At 38.2% G+C, this 20,954-nt stretch overlaps 1 protein-coding gene across 10 annotated transcripts in view; it reads right to left on the bottom strand.

Moving 5' to 3' along the window:
- NALCN (sodium leak channel, non-selective) overlaps window positions 1–20,954 on the bottom strand; it is a 363,404-nt gene that overhangs the window by 23,197 nt on the left and 319,253 nt on the right. For all 10 annotated transcript variants that reach the window (XM_011521069.3, XM_011521067.3, XM_024449336.2 and 7 more), the window contains 7 exons: window positions 18,602–18,708; window positions 12,874–12,994; window positions 12,691–12,789; window positions 6,739–6,832; window positions 6,120–6,226; window positions 5,837–5,911; window positions 4,555–4,674 (listed from right to left, as the gene is read on the bottom strand). In XM_011521069.3, the coding sequence (XP_011519371.1) occupies window positions 4,555–4,674; window positions 5,837–5,911; window positions 6,120–6,226; window positions 6,739–6,832; window positions 12,691–12,789; window positions 12,874–12,994; window positions 18,602–18,708 (723 nt within the window). The remainder of the gene's footprint in view (window positions 1–4,554; window positions 4,675–5,836; window positions 5,912–6,119; window positions 6,227–6,738; window positions 6,833–12,690; window positions 12,790–12,873; window positions 12,995–18,601; window positions 18,709–20,954) is intronic.

Genomic DNA, 20,954 nt, shown 5'->3' on the forward strand with positions numbered 1-20,954 from the left:
GGGACCAGGTGGAGATAATTGAATCACTGGGGTGGTTTCCCTCATCCTGTTCTTGTGATGATTAAGTCTCACCAGGTCTGATAGTTTTATAAGGGGCTTCCCCTTTCACTGGTCACTCATACTTCTTCCTGCCACCATGTGGAGAAAGATGTGTTTGCTTCCCCTTCCACCATGATCATAAGTTTTCTGAGGCCTTCCCAGCCATGCAGAACTGTGAGTCAATTAAACCTCGTTCCTTTATAAATTACCCAGTTTTGGGTATTTCTTCATAGCAGCATGAAAAAGGACTAACACAGTAAATTCGTACTTAGAGTGGGGGGCTACTATAAGGATACCTGAAAATGTGGAAGCGACTTTGGAACTGGGTAACAGGCAGAGGTTGGAACAATTTGGAGGACTCAGAAGAAGACAGGAAGATATGGGAAAGTTTGGAACTTCCTACTTGTTGGATAGCTTTGACCAAAATACTGATAGTGATATGGACAGTGAAGTCCAGGCTGAGGTGGTCTCAGGTGGAGATGAGGAACTTATTGGGAACTAGGGCAAAGGTGACTCTTGTTATGCTTTAGCAAAGAGACTGGCAGCATTTTGCCCCTGCCCTAGAGATCTGTGGAACTTTGAATTTAAGAGAGATGATTTAGGGTATCTGGTAGAATAAATTTCTAAGTGACACAGTGTTCAAGAGGAAGCAGAGTATAAATATTTGGAAAATGTGCAGTCTGATGATTTTTATAGAAAAGAAAACCTTATTTACTAGGGAGAAATTGAAGCCAGTTGCAGAAATTTACATAAGTAACGAGGGACTGAATGCTAATCACCAGGACAATGGGGAAAATGTCCCCAAGGGCATGCCAGAGACCTTCACAGCAGCCCCTTCCATCACAGGCCTGGAAGCCTAGAAGGGAACAATGGTTTTGTGGGTGGGCCCCAGGCTCCCTCTGCTCTATGCAGCTTTGGGACATGGTGCCCTGCCTTCCAGCAGCTTCTGCTCCAGCCATGGCTAAAAGGTGCCAATATACAGCTCAGGCTGATGCTTCAAAGAGTGCAAGCCCCACGACTTGGTGGCTTACACATGGTTTTGGGCCTGTGGGTGAACAGAAGTCAAGAACTGAGGTTTGGGAACCTCTGCCTAGATTTCACAGGATGTATAGAAACAACTGGATGTCCAGGCAGAAGTTTGCTGTGGGGGTAGAGCCCTCATGGAGAACCTCTGCTGGGGCAGTGCGGAAGGAAAATGTGTGGTTGGAGTCCACACACAGAGTCCACACACAGAGTCCCCACTGGAGCACTGCCTAGTGGAGCTGTGAGAAGAGGGCCACCATCCTCCAGACTCCAGAATGGTAGATCCACTGACAGCTTGCACTGTGTGCCTGGAAAAGCCACAGACACTCAATACCAGTCCAGGAGGGGGTCTGTACCCTGCAAAGCCACAATGGTGGAGCTGCCCAAGGCCATGGGAGCCCACCTCTTGCATCAGTGTGCCCTGGATATATATAAGACAGAGTCAAAGGAGATTATTTTGGAACTTTAATGTTTAATGACTGCCCTATTGGATTTTGGACTTGCATGGTGCCTATAGCCCCTTTGTTTTGGCCAATTTCTCCCATTTGGAATGGGTATATTTACCCAATGCCTGTACCCCCATTGTATCTAGGAAGTAACTAACTTGCTTTTGATTTTACAGGCTCATAGGCAGCAGAAACTTTCCTGTTCTCAGATAAGACTTTGGGCTTGGACTTTTAAGTTAATGCTGGAATGAATTAAGACTTTCGGGGACTGTTGGGAGGGTATGATTGTATTTTGAATTGTGAAGACATGAGATTTGGGAGGGGTCCAGGCAGAATGATATGGTTTAACTGTGTCCCCACCCAAATCTCATCTTGAATTGTAGTTCCCATTATCTCCACATGTTGTGGGAGGGACCAGGTGGAGATAATTGAATTAAGGGAGGCAGTTTCCCCCATCCTGTTCTCATGATATTGAGTTAGTTCTCACAAGATCTGATGGTTTTATAAGGGACTTCCCCCTTTGCTGGGCACTCATTCTTCTCTCTCCTGTTCCCTTGTGAAGAAGGATGTGTTTGCTTCCCTTTCCACCATGATTGTAAGTTGCCTGGGGCCTTCCCAGCCATGTGGAACTTTGAGTCAATTAAATATCTTTCCTTTATAAATTACCCAGTTTTGGGTATTTCTTCATAACAGTGTGAGAAGGGACTAATACAAATTTTATCTGGAGAAAGGAAAAACATGGGCCTTGCTGCCTTTTCTTCCCATGTTAGCTAAAGATCTATTGCAGATACCTTCCCTCTTTATGTTTTGGAAGTAATGACAACCAATAGTTTTTAGGATGAGAATCTGAATTCTTCACCTGGACTGCAAGGTCCTAAGAGGTCTGATACCTTCTTACCCATCCAAATCTTGTACTATGCTAGTACTATGTATCTATCCTTCTTCCAGCTCTGTCATCTTTCCATCACAGGGACAACTACCTGAAATGCCCTCCCCTTATCCTACAGATGGAGCCATCACTCCCTTGGGGATGTCTTCCAAGACCTCTCTGATGAAGCCATCTCCCACTATTATCTATGTTGTCACAGGAACACAGGCTCTCCTTCATCTCCCTCATCATAGTCATTATACTCATAGATTTGTGAGCAATTGATGACTATCTATCTACTTTTCTAGGATATAAGGTTCACAAGAGCAGCAACTATATTTGTTTTGCTTATTACATTCTTCTCAGTTACTAGTACTGTGTCTTGTACTAGGAATTGAGAACCATTTATTGCTGAGAAAATACTTCAGGATGACTGAGAGCTCACCTAGGCTTCATACAGCCCCTGATGCTGAAGGTAACCACTGGTTTAAGAAGGACGCTCACTATGTTCATGAGCACAGCGTCTCGTATTAAGGCAAGCCCTTTAGGATGTGTAAATGAGTCTTTCCCAGCATGTCTCTAACACTAAGGGGATGGGAGAATGGATAGAAGGAAACAGGGAAAAACCGATAATATTCCTTGGGATGAGATCAAGTATGACTAACAAAAAGAAGGTAATTATAATAATGCCTACAGGCTTGTATAATCTTTCTAGTTCAAGAAAGCCTCAAATATATTATCTCACTTGATCTTCATAATGCCAGAGGGAATAGGTGGATTATGAAGTTATATTGGCCATTCAGAGCAGGAAACAAAGGATCATTGAAGGCAAATAAATTAGTCAAGGCTGGAAAATGGTGGAACCTAGACTAGGACCCATATCTTCCAGAGCTGTGCTATCCAACATGGTAACCAGCAGCCACATGGAACCACATGTGGTTACTGAGCACTTAAAATGTGGCAATTTAAATGAAGATATGCTGTAAATGTAAGATACATACTCAGCCAAAGACTTCACACACAGATACAAGGATACTACTTATCTCAATAATTTTATATTGCTTACACATGAAAATAATAATACTTTGGATATAGTTTAGAAAATATAATTATTAAATTGTTAATAATTAAATTATATAAATAATTATAATTACATAAGTATAATTACATACATAATAGTTATAAGTATATAAATAATAATTATACATAAATAATTATAACCAAATAATTATATAATTAAATAATTATTAAATTAATTATATAATCAATTAAATTAATTATTTAATTAAATATATTAATATATAATATATAACTATATAAATAATAAAAATATATACATACACATACACATAATGCATCTTTTAATTAATACATATTTTAAATAATAAAATATATTACATAATTAAATAATTAATTATTATTTATTTAATAATTATTAACAATTTAATAGTTATATTTTCTAAACCACTACTTTTTTATTGTGGCTTCTAGAAAATGTTAAGTGATATCTGTGGCCACATTTTATTTTCATTGGACAATATGGCCCTAGATTACAGTTCAGTACACCCATAGCTGCAGATTTTGAGTGGGATCTCAGACTGAATGGAGGGTGAAGGCACTTTAGGTAAAATAGTGAGAACACAGATATAGAGATGGAGAATCATATGCTTTAGAGAAGTGGAGGCTAAATGTCTTATAGAAAATGAAACAGTGGAAGCACTTGAGAATCACATTGTGAAATACTGATTATAACAAAGTGGAACAAATGCTATATTTCAGCTGAGAAAACAGGAAAACAGGACTATAGTCTTCTGATACTAGCTTGTGTGAATTTGGACAGTTCTCAGTCTCTGTTGCAGTCTTCCTCTCTCTTTCTTGTTTTCCCCTTTGGTAAAATGAGGGGCTAAACCAGAAGATCTTGAAGGTCCTTCTCTTTCTAGCTTGCATCGTCTAGGTCTTTGAGGGGCCAGGTTTTGCCTGTGTGAAGAGTGTGGGGGTGTGTACATGTAGACACAAGCATGTCTGAGAGCCCATCACAGTCAAAGCTGGGCTTTAGGGAGGTCCATCTAACACCTCAGAGCAGGTTGATGTGGAGTAAAATGAGACTGGAAACAGGACTGAGCAGAACTGAACCAAACTGAAATAATCAGCTGAAATCAACTTGACTTCTATGCTTACCAGGAGGGCAAAGTGAAGCACCACCCATACAACGCCAAGCGACGTCACCAGGAGATCGTATCGGTTTCTTCTGCTTTGCCAGAAGCCAGCAGGCGACATTGCTATGATCTTCATGGTAACCTGGAGAAAAAGCAAAGAAGAAAATAAACAGAGAGAGTGTTTAGTACATATTTAAATGTATTAACTTGAGATGCATTATGTGTATGTATTTTTTTCAAATGAAGAAAATTTTAAATTATTTGATGTGGACACAGTATCTTTTCCATTGAAAATGAGACAAACACTTTAATGCCCTTTGAGGTTTCCTTTTAGGCCACGTGCCTACACTATCTATCTGTCTGTCTGTCTATTTATTTATTATTATTTTTTGAGACTGAGTCTCGCTCTGTCACCCAGGCTGGAGTGCAGTGGCATGATCTTGGCTCACTGTAGCCTCTGCCTCCCGGGTTCAAGCAATTCTCCTGCCTCAGCCTCCCGAGTAGCTGAGATTATAGGCACGTGCAACCACTCCTGGCTAATTTTTGTATTTTTAGTAGAGATGGGGTTTCACCACGTTGGCCAGGCTGGTCTCAAACTCCTGGCCTCAGGTGATCCACCCACATCGGCTTCCCAAAGTTCTGGGGTTACAGGAGTGAGCCAGCATGCTCGGTTATACTATCTATTTAAAGAATAATTGTAAACATGTAGTAACTAAAAATAAGAGTTTATTACCAAGATATATGATTTTATTTTTGAAGCTAAGTAGCTTACAAATCTGTGTTCTCTACACTCTTTCCTCTTCGTTTTATGACTAGTTCTGATCATGGGACATTTTTCTTCCTTAAGCAAAAGGCCATAGATTTTGGGAAACATCAACCAGTGTAGGGCAAAATAAGAATCTGCTTGTATTTCAGGAAGACTGCCCTGGAAAGCAATATTATGAGAATCACATGTTAAAATAACCTTGTCTGGGCCAACTTGTTTTGCGTCTCTATTGCAATTTGAGTCAATGAATTATAGTGGCTTGCACCATTCCCTCTAAATATCAGAACTCGCATAACTAGACAGGCCAATGTTCAGACACAACAATCGACAGCAGCATTTCTGTAGTTAGAAAAATCTGATGGATAAAGTGATGTCTTTGTTCGAGTTAAGCAGAACCGCTTAAGTAGGAAATATCCTAAGGGCAAACTTCAAAGGCAATGGAACACAGAGAGGAGAGTAAGTGGCATCAAAGAGGGAGGCTGATTTACTTTAAAACTGTGCACAGATTCCCCCAGAGCTAGCTGACTCATTACAGTACCTCCAGAACAAAGATGAAGGTGAAAACAACTGACATTGTTGCCAAAGGTACGGTCACCGGGTCCTCGACGTCCCACTGCAACAGAAACAGCACACGAGTCGTTGCCCACGTCCATCGGACACATACAGGCTTGCCCCTCTTCTGCCCACTTTGCCATTGACAGTGAATCTTAATTTTTACACCCAAGAACATAACCGTGAATGCATATAGCAGCTTGTGATACTCTCGGATGTAGCAGTGAATACAAAATTCATTCCCGGAGTCTTAGGGTGAAACGAAGTACCTTGACAGAGAGCAACACCGACTGGGCCAGGACGAGTAATGCGATTGTCCTCTTAAAAAATGGATGCTGGGTTATGTCATACATTTTAGCTCTAAAACCATCATTATCTAGAAAAGAAAGGTTTGGGCAAGGGCATTTTAGACACAGGTCACATTTACTTTCTTGTCGTTTATTTTCTTAAATGCTTATCTTAAAACCCATTACATTTTTCTCCCCAAACAGTTCCGTCTATTGTGAGGTGTTTTTGCAGCAATGGCTGGCTCTGAATATTCAAAACGACAGTGCATGATGCCGTCTATATTGGAAGGAGAAGTGCATCATTCAATTTCTGTCAGTTTAATACATTTCACTTATATTTTTAAAAGGCAAGAGCAAATATATTTTATTTAAAAATTCATTTTTTCATTAAGGCTTAGTCTGAGAGCACTGAAGCACAGCCTTTGGGTGGTTGATTTTAATAGCCTTATGGAGAGATCTGTGGTTTGGAGCCTGTTTCTGTATTACCTTATGCACAACCTCCCAGCGGCCTCACGATTATTATTTTAATTTAAATCTGAGACTCCTGGGGAATCGTGCACACTAGTGCCCAACATGAATAAAATCAGAGCATTTTGGGTACCCGGGCGAGGCGGAAGATGAAGAGGCTGTGCGATCTTCAGTCGGCTCTTCAGGTCTTCCCATCTTCTCTGATCGACGGTCAGCAAAGCCGTCCCCTTAACAGACAAAAGAAAGCAGGAAAAGGCCTTTTGTCATGTGCTTGCACCAAGAACATGGCAGATGGGGTGCCGAGACAAACAGGACTGATGTGAGGGCTTGCACTGACCATGTTCTTCCAACCGTGGTGGTGAGAGAAACATGGTCAGAATGCTCAAAGTTGGTCTCGGGAGGAGTTCCCAAAATGATGACCAGGTGTTTCAGAGAGAATTCAGCAGCCTTCGACTTGTATCTTTGGAGATGTGTAATATTCAGGTTTGGGAAAATGTAAAGAGGAGTTTCTACATAATTACATTTTCAAAAAAGGATACTCACTAATAGTAGTTAGTTTCCTTTCATTTCATAGCAGCAAAATTATAGCTTGTCAATGCTGTGGCTTCCAGTTAAGGGTATGTTGTCTTTCTTTAAAAAATGTCTAATATGTGCAATTGCAAAACTGTTTTTGAGAGATACAAAGTCATAGAGTTTGCATTTTAAGAAAGTAGTGCTGTGATAACTGCCTAAATGGAATTCCATATTCTGTATAATAGAGTACTTGATTAAAATGCATATGATTAAAATTATATTATATTGTATTGCACTGCACTGCATTATATTTTATCATAAAAGCTGAAGTGTAATTTTAAAAACTAGACAAAAACCCCACTCTCCCTTTCCTTACCCAGAGCTAACCACTACCCTTCAGGCGTGCATCCTCCTTACTATGTTTTCAGACTTTTGTGCTTACGCATGAATCAATACGTAAGAATTTGTTCTGAATTTTTTAATATTTATAGAAATGGACTCCAACATGTGATTATTTATGCTGTTTCTTTATATCTGCATTGAACAGTATACTTTCCATACAACTAGATTACTAAATCTAATTTGTTTAACTGCTCACAAACACCATCCACTGTACGAATATCCGAAGTTATTCATTTTTGATTTATGGACTATAACCAATGCTGCAATAAGCATCCATGTACTGTCTCACAGTAAATATCTATGAGGGTTTCTCCATTGTTGATCTCTAGGAGAAGAATTGATGGGGTCTAGGAATTTAAGCATCTTTACATTTACCAGATGTTGCCAACTTGCTTTCCAAAGAGCAAAAACCAAAACAAATTTCCTACCAGCAATACACAGGTGTTACCATATCCTAATATTCTTGCAATACTTGATATTGCCAGACATTGTAATCTGACCATTTTGATAGGTGTGAAAATGTATCTAATGTTGTTTTAATATTAACGAGATGAAACATTTGCATGTGTGTAAATGGTGATGCTTGTATCTTCCTATGTGAATTGCCCATTCATATCCTTTGCTCATTTTTGTATTTTGATATTTACTTTTTAATGGTTTGTAGAGATTCTTTATACATGCTGGATACTAATCTTTTATCAATTATGTAAGTTGTACATATTTTCTCTTAGTCTTGGCTTGTATTTTTATTTTGCTTAGAGTGTCTTTTGTCATTCAGAACATTTTAATTTAAATATAATCGAGTTTATAATTTTTTTCCTTTACAGATTTCACTTGGTGGCTAATGGGATGAAATCCATAACTACTCCAGGGCAAAAAACAAATGCTTACTAGGGGTGGGGAGGGGAACTAGAATAGGGATAGTCAAATGTTGATTAATGGATATGAAAATACAGCTAGATTGGAGGAATAAATTTTAGTGTTCCATGGTAATATATGGTGAATCTAATTGACAACAATTAATTGTTTATTTTTAAATACCTAGAAGAGAGGATTATGAATGTTCCCAACACAAAACAGTGATAAATGTTTGAGGTGATAGATATGCTAATTATCCTGATTTGATCATTACACATTATAATACATGAATTGAAATATCACACTGTACCCGATAAATATGTACAATTATGCGCTGATTAAAAATAATAAAGGCAAAAACATTATTTGCTGCTTATCTGAAATTCAAATAAAAAATAAATGCTGACATGCTTTAAAAATGGTTTAAATTTTGCTTTTCATATTGAAGTCTTTAATTCATCTGGAATTCATTTTTGAGTATGCAGTGAGGTAGAGATCTCAGCATAGCTCTTTACATCAATACAATCAATACTCCCAACACCACTCCTTGTTGGTCTCACCACCCTCTGCACTAATTTGTTGAGCTGCTTCTGTTTTCTACATACATGGGTCCCTGCTGGGTCTTTCTAGTTTTTTCTGTAAGTCTAATTTTCTATACCTATAACAATACTGACACTCTTTTAATGATTGTAGCTTACTTTCTTGTTTCATGTTTTTATTTTTGTTCAACCTTCCTAGAGGTTTATTGACTTGATTTAAAAAAAACCAAAACCCAGCTTTTGTTATTCTTGAATATTATAGAAGCTATACAAGTTTCCTTACTTTCTGTATCATTAATTTGTGTCCTAATCTTTGTTACTTTCTTCCCCCCTACTTTATTTGATTTTACTTTATTATAATTTATTGATTTGGATATTTGACATATTAATATTTAACTTGTGATTCTTCTTTAATATATACACTTAAAACGATACATTTATTTGTAATTACTGATTTACCTATACCTCATTAGTTTTTGTATATGACGCTATAAAATGTTTTGTCTGTAAATATTTTGTGATTTTCTATTATAATTTCTTCAACTCATAAATTATTTATAGTATTGTCTTAATATTTCCAAATTGTAGAGTTTTTTTTGTTTTTGTTTTCATTATGGTCAGAAAACATTCTTACATTATCAATTCTTGGGTAATTATGGCCTTCTGGGAGACACATTTTGTGCTTGAAAATAATGCACATTCTCAAATTGTTGTAATTAGAGTTTTCCTTATACATTCACTTGATTGTGTTTATTGTATCAAATCTCATATTTCCTTTTATTCTACTCTGAATTATGAGATTTTTTGAGATATATGTTAATATCTTTCACTATGATTTTGGATTTTCTAGCTTCTTTTTACAACTTGTTTAATTTTTGCTTTGTACATTTTGGGATTTGGAAGTTCTATATCTTTCTGGTGATTATTTTGTCATTCTTTAGTACATCATTTATTCCCAATAATAGTGTTTGTTTAAAATTGTTCTTTTCTGATAATCACATTGCTAAACCACTTTTCTCACTAATTATAAGCAAACACTTGTTCTCTGGCCACCATAGACACTAATGTAATTACTTTGTTATACATAAAAAAAATTTTGGAAAGTTGAACTCTGAAAGGATCTAAAAGAATAATAGGCATGGAGATATCATCTGATCATTAATATATAAAAACCTCTGAAAGTTTATTATTATCAAGTTAGGTTAATAAATCAAACACATTGTCTTACATAGTAGAGAAATCAGAAAAAAATCTATATTACTAATATAGACTTGGAACTCTTTAAAGAGGTTTCCATTTTCAAAAGAAGACATATTTTTGCATGATTCTGAATTGTACCCTAAAGATTCCCTCATTTTCTATCTCTGTTGTCTCTACATTTGGAAATTTACCTATGTGCCTTTGGGTATGACTATTAAGATGTGTGCTCCATGAGGGCAAATAACTTTTCTGTGTTTAGTGTTTAGGTTAGTTCACTAGGTCCTCAGTGTCAAGAGCAGCCTCTGGCACCTAGTAGATGCTCAAATACATCTGTTGAATGATTGAATAATGTATAAATGCTGTTAGATGGCAGCTCATGAGCTGCTTTCTAAAAAAAAAAAAAAACTTGCAGAGAAAGAAACTTTTCTAAAAGGCTCACATAATTTAGCAATTGATATCTCCAATTAACAAATCAAGTTTGTAAAGCTTGGTAATATAATTTCTTGTCAATTTCTCCTTTCTTTAAGTGCCCATTTGAGCTGATAGAACATACGCCCCAGATCCCCCAAACAGGCCACGTTACTCTTTCCTACCTGCAGAACATAAATACAGTGCTGGATGGAGACCTCCCTGGTTATTCTGCTAACCTCAGCCACTTCTCTAAGCTCAAGTGTTGCAATTAATTATACATTTATTTCCAGTTACTGAACATTTTATGTTGTTCTATGTATGTTGCTGAATTGTGAGCTGTGATACATTCTAATCTTCCTGAAATCAGGTGTCTGCTCAGACGGCTTCTTAACGGTGTTCTGGGCAAGCAGTGCCTAAACTCTCCTGTTAATTGACTGATTAGCTTCTGCTTATATTCTAGAATTCTCAGTGTCTGCTGCATTACATGGCTCAAAGGCATCTAAAAAGATCCTTCTTCCTCTTTCTGCTTGGTATTAAACTCAACACTGTAGGGCTCAAAGCATCTCGTTAATGAATGTGATAGGAGTAAAATAAGGGGCTGGGTGACATGATCACTACTGTTCTTTCTGTCTCTAACATCCCATGTTTCTGAGGGTCCAAGTAGAGTCGGGGCCCAAAAGAGGAATTTTTAAATCTCACCCTTTGAAAGCCTGAATGAAATGACATGCTCATTAGCCACACATCAAAGGTGTCAATTGACTGGCTAACTGGTACCACTCACGTTGAGCCTGAGGACAGTGAATGACAGATACAGTCCCATGTGTAGCAACACAAACTGAAGAGCTCTGATGTGAACGCATGGGAATCAGTCCTAGCCATGAATAACATCGAGCAGCACGGTGCTTTACAGGCAGATCTAGCTTCAACTTAATGCAGAGTGAAGGTTGACTTTATTCTACTCATGCCTTCGAAGAATCACAGAGCCTGCGGTAATAGGCACCAATTCTGAATTCTGGCCCTGTTTATCACACCTTATAAGCCCCAGACTAGTCATTGCTTTTTCTGCAACCGTGCATTTGAGAGTTGTGAGAATTGATTGAATATGTAAAATCTTAGTACACAGTGTGTGCTCAAAAACTGCATGCACTTCCCTTACTATGATTCCAAAGACTGCGTCTCAAACAATAGAGGGCATAGCTCAAGTGCCTAGATGAGCAAGCCCCTCTCCAAGGAGTGCTAATAGAATGTTCTTCCCCAAACTCACACTTTGATAGGAAACTACATTGTTATTTTCCCATTTGTGAGCCTTTGTTCTAATCATTAGAGCTGTTACAAACTCAACAGGCTTCCCGAGTTCACAAAGTATGTCAAGTTCATATGAAATTAGAAAATCTTTTTTTCTTTTTTTTCTTTTTTTTTTTTGAGTCTCGCTCTGTTGCTCAGGCTGGATGCAGTGGTGTGATCTCGGCTCACTGCAACCTCTGCCTTCTAGGTTCAAACGATTCTCATGCCTCAGCCAACCCAGTAGCTGGGATTACAGGCATGCGCCACCACGCCCGGCTAATTTTTGTATTTTTAGTAGAGACAGGGTTTCACTATGTTGGCCAGGCTGGTCTTGAACTCCTGACCTCAAGTGATCCACCCGCCTTGGCCTCCCAAAGTGCTGGGATTACAGGCGTGAGCCACCATGCCCTGCCACAAAATCTTTTTTTCTGTGAATTAGGATTTTGAAATTTCTACCAGACTCCCCTCACCCCCATCAAAATCCTGAGTTCACCTACTGAGTTACACAGAAGCATACAATTTACATTTAGTGAAAGTAATATTACCTGTAATTAGCGAATCACTTTCATCTATTGTATTTTAATAACTTGCTGCCCATCTTTCTTTTCAATTTGAACAATAGGAGACGCGCCTCTCAGTTGTCGGTGAATTAATGACACTGTTACCAAAAGGGTAAATTTAGCAAGAGAACTGTACTCTTAAATAATGTGTCTGAAAAGCAGCAATGAGGGAGCTTGTAAAACAGTTATAGAGATTATTTACACCAGTCACATTACAGTTTAAAGCGGCTTCACGCCGCGTGTGAAAAGAAACAAATAGCTCAAAGTGAGTGGCTAGAAAAGGCTAAACCCTGTGGTATCCAAACCAAAAATCCTTACCTTGTTTTCATTGAAATTAGCAATAACTACTCCAACAAAAAGGGTCAGTCCAATCATGCAACCCAGGAATACAAAAACATGAATATAGATTCCATGGATCTGCATAAAGGAAAATATGGTTATTCATCAAAACAAATGAAAGCTGCTCTTGAAGTGTTCAAAGGATTCGATGTGCTCGCTTACCGGCCCCACACGATGAATAATAACATCTCTCACTTCCACCCAGCCTTTCAAGGAGAGAACTTCAAACAACGCCAGCATAGCGTTTCCCACATTGTCGAAATTAAAGTTCCGAGGATTCGCCCTGCGATTCCAATACAGGAATGTTCTGTGAAATTCCAATAAGCAGCACCCGAAGGCAAATATCTGTAGCCCTTTCCAGTCATGAGTGTGGGATATGTGTGTGTGTGTGTATATACACACACATATATACACACACACGTGTGCGTGCACACACACATACATATGTGTGTATATGTATACACACACATTTTTACGCTATATGGCATTCGTTTGCTAAATCATAACAATGCATCAATGTGTTATAATTGATTGTGTTCATTAGGTAATGATGGGGTGATCTCAATGTAAAACAGCTCTAGTTCTAGCTTGAGAGGTTCTGCAACATTTCTACCTTGTCCTGATTACCCTGAGGACTGGACAGATGATTTTATCGATTTGCACAAAGAAGCATTGGATTTTGGATGTGGATTTTGAAATAGTTTTGTAACTGAAAATCTTTCGAAAGGCATAAATTACAATTGCCTGTGTTAGTATAGAAAGTGTAGAGTAGAATTTAGTCACTTTATTTCACTTTGTGTCATCATGGTGAACACAGGGCTGGAAAGTAGTGATGCATTTAGAGGTCACTGAGACGGCAAGAGGTGTTTGCTTGTAGTATGTATTTTTCCAAATTACTCTCTTCCAGTTGGATTTTTTCTTATTAACTCTGAGTCTTCTCAGTGGACTCTTAGTCTGGTCCCCTTTATGGGTGGTATGCTTTCTACCTCCACCGCTGATTCCTGATTCCTGAAACTCATTGGCTTATTCATTTTCTGTTTTCTTATAGATTTGGGGGGTACACGTGCAGGCTTGTTACATGGGTGTATTGCATAATGCTGGGGTTTGAGCTTCTAATGAACCCATTACTCAGATAGTGCACGCAGAATCCAACAGGTAATTTTTCCAACCTATGACCTCCTTCCTTCCTCCTCCCATTTGAAGTCCCCGCTGTCCAGAGTTTCCAACTTTATGTCGAGGTGTACCCACTGTTTAGCTCCCACTTCTGTGGGGGCCAGGGATGTCTCATTTCTTGTTCTTTTAACATGGTTATACTTTTCTCTTCCCAATTATAAAAGTGATCCTTTTTACTAGATTGCATCTTCTTTAATTGTTATGGTTCTTAGCTAACATTTTTGTTGTTAATAGAAGAAGCTTTCAGTGGCTTTTCCCCCTCTTTCCTTCTTATTAGAGGCTAATTTTAAATAATTAAGATTTTGATAACCAAACACTGGAAAATCATGGACTATATTTCTTGAATTTAATGAAGAACTGAGCTCCGGACCACTGACTAGAGTAGGCCCCTTGGAGCCTATTTAAATTATATTTTGATCATTTTTTCCCCCTGCTAGCTCATTTCTCAAAATTTAACCCTCAGGACAGGCAACGCTCTAGGGAAAATCTGGTTCTGTACTTTTCTACCATCTTTTATGTTTTTTAAACTATAGAGACAATCACAAGATGTGCCTTCATAAGTTTTTTGAATATTAAATAGATGAGGATATAAGAAGAAAACATTAAACTGAAACTGATTTGTTCTTAAGGGCTTAGGGCTGATTAGTGGAGACGGTCTTTAATATAGTGCAAAAGCCCCACTCAGAAATGCATATTTTGGAATTCTGCTTTATATTTTTTTATGTATGAAAGTACAAATATATTCTTTTGGATGCTTCCAACAATCTTTCCTTTGGGATGTTTCCACTAAATTTCATATATTTTACAGTAGACAGAAGTTATAAGGATTCTACAGATGCCACAGTTTGCTTGAATAAGGATTTTTTACAAGCAAGTGAACCGGTTCTCAGAGCCGGTGTTGGACTTCCTTACCTGCTCATTTTCTTTTGTAGAAGTGCTTTCTTAGCTGAATTTGCAGCCACTGAAACTACTGTTATGTTCTAGATCTTCTAGAAGTTAGAATATGTGAAAAATATTCTAACTAAACCAAGTAAAACAAAATGTAGCATCAAAGACTTCAATAGTTGGAAGAATTTATCACATTAAAAAAATAAGTCTTTTTCAGTTTTAATCATGTAAAGTGTTTTCTTATGCTTTCTTCATGCTAGCAAAGTTGCAAAGTTTGAAACTTTACCTGTAACTACGGAGTCCTTCAATAAATCCCAAATGCCATCTATTATTGTCATTTTTACCTGCTACCCTTCCTTGAATTGAAAAGGTTGTCATTTTTTCTGGTTAATTTGTGAAATATTGTAATCTTGCCTGTCCAATTCAGAAAACTAAGACATTAGATCTGACCACATAATTTTGTCAGTTTTTTACCTCCCAGAGGAGGTGCTCCAAGGCCCCCCAAGATCAAGGTAGGGAGAGCTGCTCTTCCCTTGGGGAACATGGGGGCACCCTGAAGACGTGACTGAGCGTCTGCCCTTGGATGTGGAAATGCAGAAAAAGACTTTGTCCAAAAACGGCATGCTGTATCTTACACAACCATCTCTCCTAAAAGAAATCAGAAACGTCGTACTTCCTACAGCACCCCAACGCTTTTTGCCTTGAGCTTTGGGCATAGAGTTGCCTTAACTTGTAATACCAAACCTATGCCTAGACTTTCCTCCTCACCTGCCTCTGACCCTGCCCCCTTCACCTGGCTAGTTCCTATTGGTTGTCCTTCAAAAGGTAACCAGTGTGTCTTCTCATCTGGTCCTTCTCTTTGGCCCTGCATAGTTGGGGTTAGGTGCTTCTCCTGTGTGTCCATTGTACCCTTAGCCTTTCTGTAGGAATCAGAGGCAGGTATATGATGAAGCCAAAGAAACCTAAGGGGTAGGACCCCTCTTTTGTACAGGCCCTTCTGAGATGTTGGTACCCCAAATTGTTTGGGCCTTAGACCCTATAAAACCTGATCACCTTCTTCCTAGAACATATCACAGTGTAGCTTAACATTACATGGAGATGAGTTTCGGGTGAGCCAGAGGTAAGCTTAGGGGCTTCTCTGTGCAGCATTAAAGCCCTTAGCATATTATATAAAATTATTTGTAATTTTATTTTCTGTTTCCCACTAGACTTTAAGCTCCTAAGGGGTAGGGGCCATCGCTTATTCAGGGCCTTACCACAGTGACAAGCATACTAGCTGGTGAAGAGCAAGCACTCAATAAATACATTTATTATAAGCCTGAATACTTTGTTAGTTTTTCTCCCATGCATGCCATTTTCCTATATTCCAGACCTCCTCTTAAAATAAATCACACTGTATTTATAATCCATGATATGTTTAATCCTTTTTACTGAGGTGACTCATCAAGTCTGAGTGATTCAGAAGAAAGTACATTTATTAATCTGAAGAGAGAATATTGAAACTAGACTGTCTCCTGAATTAGTGCATATTTATGTCCTAATTATAATTACCAAAGCATTCCTCTAGTGTATTCCTAGATATGTTATTTTCTTAATCATAATTTAGCCAATATAAAATTACAAAATTTCAGCTTCCAACTCTTGATTAGCTTACTTAAGAAGGAAAGTGTAAAAAGTTATCATGGTTACAGATGACATTTATTAGATCGAAGGTGTCTATTTCACTACAATCCAAGTCACATTATCCTGGAGAAATGGACAAGAGCACTTGTGATGATGTTCAAGGAATGCCTGGCTATTTGCTTATGCTTCTAGAATGGCATTGCCTTTGAAACCCCTAATAATACCTTCCATAAAATATTGCATTTAAATTAACTTTGATTTTAAAAATCCCATGTAGCTGGTTTTATGGACTAGGTTGAGTGCTATAGGGCACAACTGGCAGGTTTACTTTTCTCCAAACACTACCTTCAAGTGTGTTCCAGCTCCCTGTCTGAATTCTTGGGGAGGTCCCAGAGCTTTTTGGTTATTTTCAGTAATTCAGTTTTACATCCAACTGATCCTATAACTCATATAACAATCCCATCCTTAGCAGCTCAAGGACCCCGGTTTGAGGAAAGGAAGAAAAGTTGGCCACTTTCTTCACTTCCACTCATCCTCTTCAGGCCACCACGAGATTCTCACATGACTGAGGTGGGATGTCGTTGAAAGGAATGGAGGAATGGAGTTTAAGTCTTGTGCATCTGATACAATTGGATTCTGGCCATAGGTGTTCAAGAGTTTGAACCCCCTCTCCAGCCCAGGAGTGCCTCATTGCACCTTTTCTCCTGTAAGTGTGCAGTCTTTGGGTGATTCTCAAGTCTGGCTCCTGGAAACACACCTACGGACCCTTTGGAGGGGGGTACCCTTTCCCAGCACAAAGCCCTTTGCCGCAAGGCTCAAGAGGACTCAGATGATGTGGCCCTAGGCAGTGACTACTGGGCTCTCCAGGAACACCAGATAACCCTGCTCTCCAGATGGTGATGAGCAGCCTGGCCACAAGAGTCTCTCTTCTTGCCCTGCCCATCTCTGACGTTAAGTGATCCCCCTGGGGTACCTCACTTGGCAGAGGTGGGAGGCACCCTCTACCTTTCTCTATAGTGAAGGAAATGAAATGCCCCAGTGTTCTCTATTCCTGACTACATTTACTTCCATGATATTATCTTTGAATTAATAAAAATTAATAAATTATAACATAAATAACTTTATGCTATAATTAATTTTTATCTCATGGAAGAAAATTTTTATGCTCCTTTAATTTTTATTTCAATGGAAATTGGACGGCTTTTCTAGTCAGCAGTGGGGCCAGGATATTCTCATGTCTCACATTCCTCTCTCTCCAAGCTGAAGCCACATACCCCAAATGAATCCTTTTTCTCAGTTCTTGGATATTTTAAAAAATAAAAACCCAATATGCATTCTATTGGATTACGTATAAAAGCGAATTTCATATGAGAAAAATGCCAAAGAGAGGTAACAGTGAGTGCTAGGGTACAGCTGGGTGAAATGCTGTTCCTTTTAAAGAGTTTTGACATTTAGAAAAGAACATCAATTGTGACAAAAGCAGAGGTGCTGTGACTCAGTTGTTATTCTTACACATTTTCTAAAAGAAAACTTAAAAAACAGATAATAATTTTAAAGGACAAATGAAGGTGACAGAACACTCAGTTCACCAATGACACAGACTGAGAGATTCACTCATGGTCATTAATAAAATAAGAAAGAAGGTACTAGGTATTTCTAGCTTTGATCTAAGTGCTTTGAAAACTCAATTTAAAGAAAAAGGAATATTAAAGGGAAAGTTAGAAGCAATCAACTGTGTCACTGATTATTCCTCTCTAGTGTTTCAATAATGGAAGTCCTTCAGTGTAAATGGGTTTTAAAATGGAAATAGCTTTATGATTTAGGGTTCTATTATGAGGACATCAGATCCTCCTTTAAAGATATAAACTCAGGATAAGTTTAGTTTTAATTTGACAGAAAATCCTGTTAAGCCTAATTTTTTAAGGCATTTGAATCCAGATACATATTTCTGAAGTATTAGAAAAATACTGAGATAATATTTCTCTAGTTTCATGAAGCTATATAGAACTCATTGCACTACTTGCTCTCTTATTTTTTACCTTATTTCTATCTTCCAATATAATCTAGCGCTTCGCCCTGTATGACTTAAGATCATTTTAACATCTCTAGCAAAACTACTTTTAGTTACATGCCATATGATACTTATTTAAAGCCTTATACTGACAAACACACCATTCTTCAGAATATTTTTTTATGATATACTTACCAAACACGGGGCACCCAAAATCCAGGTTTTTTCTCTCCAGGCCTCAATTTTAAATTTAAGTTCTTTGACACACTGACATTAATTCTGAATATGCCATTGCAATCTTCCTAAAGTAGAAAAACAAGAGGAGAGGGGAAACCTGGTCAGAAAATGAACTCAGAAAAGATAAAGGATAGGAAACTCTTTCTTCTTTCACGGAATCCCAAAAGCCCTTTATCTAACAACAGTGATGTGGACAGCTACCCAGCAAATAGTAACAAAGACTTTGGAGACAGGCAGTTAAAAATCGATGCTGAGAATATTACTTAAATGAGCAAAGGACCTGAGTAGACACTTCTCCAAGGAAGATATGCAAATGGCCAAAAAGCACACGACAAGATGCTCAGTATCATGTGCCATCTGCCATCCGGAAAATGCAAATCAAAACCATAATGATATATCACCTCACACCCACTGAGAAAGCCATAACCAAAAAGTCAGATAACAACAAGCATTGGCGAGGATGTGGAGGAATCGCAATCCTCATACTGGAACCCTTACATACTGGTGGGGATGTAGAATGGTGCAACCACTTTGGAAAACATTCTAGCAGGTCCTCAAACCACTAACACAGAGTTACCATATGAGCCAGCAACTCCACTCCTAGGTATCTACCCAAGAGAGATGAAAATATATGTCCCTATAGAAACTTGTATAAAATGTTTATATAAGCATTATTCACAATAGCCAAAAGGTGGAAACAATCCAGATGTCCATTTTTGAACAAACAGATAAACAAAATGTGGTCCAACCATACAAGTGAATATTATTCAGCCATAGGAAGGGATGAAGTCCTGATACGTGCTACAACATGGAGGATCCTTGAAAATATTATGCTAATTGAGAAAAAAGTCACAAAAGACCATATGTTATGATTTTATTCATATAGAAGTCCAGAACAGTGAACTCTATAGAGACAAAAAGAATATTAGTTGTTGTTTAGGTCTTGAGGTGGAGGCTAAAGGGATGGGGGTAATAGTTAAGAGACATAGGGTTTCTTTTCAAGGAGATACAAATGTTCTAAAAGTGGCTGTCGTGTATACAACTCTATGAATACGCTAAAAAACCATTGAATTGAACACTTGAAGTGGGTGTATTGTGTGGTATGTGGATTACATCTCAATAAAGCTGTTAAAAAGGTTTTAAAAATTAAACATCTATAGGAAGTTTTTGACTCATTTCCTATTCTCCCTTTGGTTATTTTTGTTTCTTTGGCTATGATGGTCATATTTTGAACCTAAATCTCTTTTCTGGGTTCAAGGTGTAGATGGTAAAATTCTTGATCACTGTTTGAATATTTCAACAAAAATTCCATTTTAATCTGCTTCACGTCCTCTTTGACCCTAAGCCATGTCTCCTCTTGGCCTCCTCCTTTCTGTCCCTGGACCAGCATCCCAGCAGAAGCCCAGCATCAAGCTTAGGGTTCCCTGGGCTTTCCCTGTCCTTCTTGGCCCAAGTCTCCATTCTTACTACGATGAGTTTAGTAATGCCAACGTTACTTCTTTCTGGATTACCAGCATGATTCTTTAAAATAAGAATATTTTAATGCAAATAACACATCTTTAATTTATAAAGCCTGGACAAATAAAAGGAAGAAAACTTACCCACAATTGCCACAGACAAACACAATGAACGTTTTGGAGTATATCCTTCCAGTCTTTTTTCCTATATGTATCTGAGCTCATAAAGTTTATATTCTTCCATCGCCCACTTTTTTCAGCTAAAACTACATTGCGATTATCTTTCCATAACCATACCTTTTTATGTAGAACATTATTTGGAAAGGCTGTGTTGTAGTGTATTGTATAAAGGTCCCTTGACATATTTGGCCTCACTGCCTTTTCCAATTTGTCTTCCTGAACCCACCTGAGCCCACCTTTGATTGCATGAAGCAGTCTGGTATCTTGGTGAAAAGCCAGGGTGCCTGGACACTAGTTCCCTGCTTCTCCACTTATTAGGTGGGTGACCTTGGACAAATTATTTAATCTTTCTACACCTGTTTTCCTCATTAGGAATGGATATCCTCATTAGGATATGGGTAACAAAAACAGCACTAGGAATGGTGCTTTGTACTTTGTGGGCACTAGGATGTGTCTGATTCCTCTTCTTACCAACCTTTTGTGGTTTCTCACTTCTCATCAACGAAATTCCAAACCCCTTAGCCAGGCATTTCAGGCACTTGAGGATCTCTCCCTAACTTACATTTCTGGCCTTGTTCTTCAGTTTTTTCCTACATGGGCGGGAATGAAATTAACACTCACTGTTGAGATCAGGTTAGGTACTTCGCATAAACAAGGTAATCTAATCTTCATAA

Source organism: Homo sapiens, chromosome 13 (genome assembly GCF_000001405.40).
Source record: "Homo sapiens chromosome 13, GRCh38.p14 Primary Assembly".
In the NCBI taxonomy this organism is placed as follows: Eukaryota; Metazoa; Chordata; class Mammalia; order Primates; family Hominidae; genus Homo; species Homo sapiens.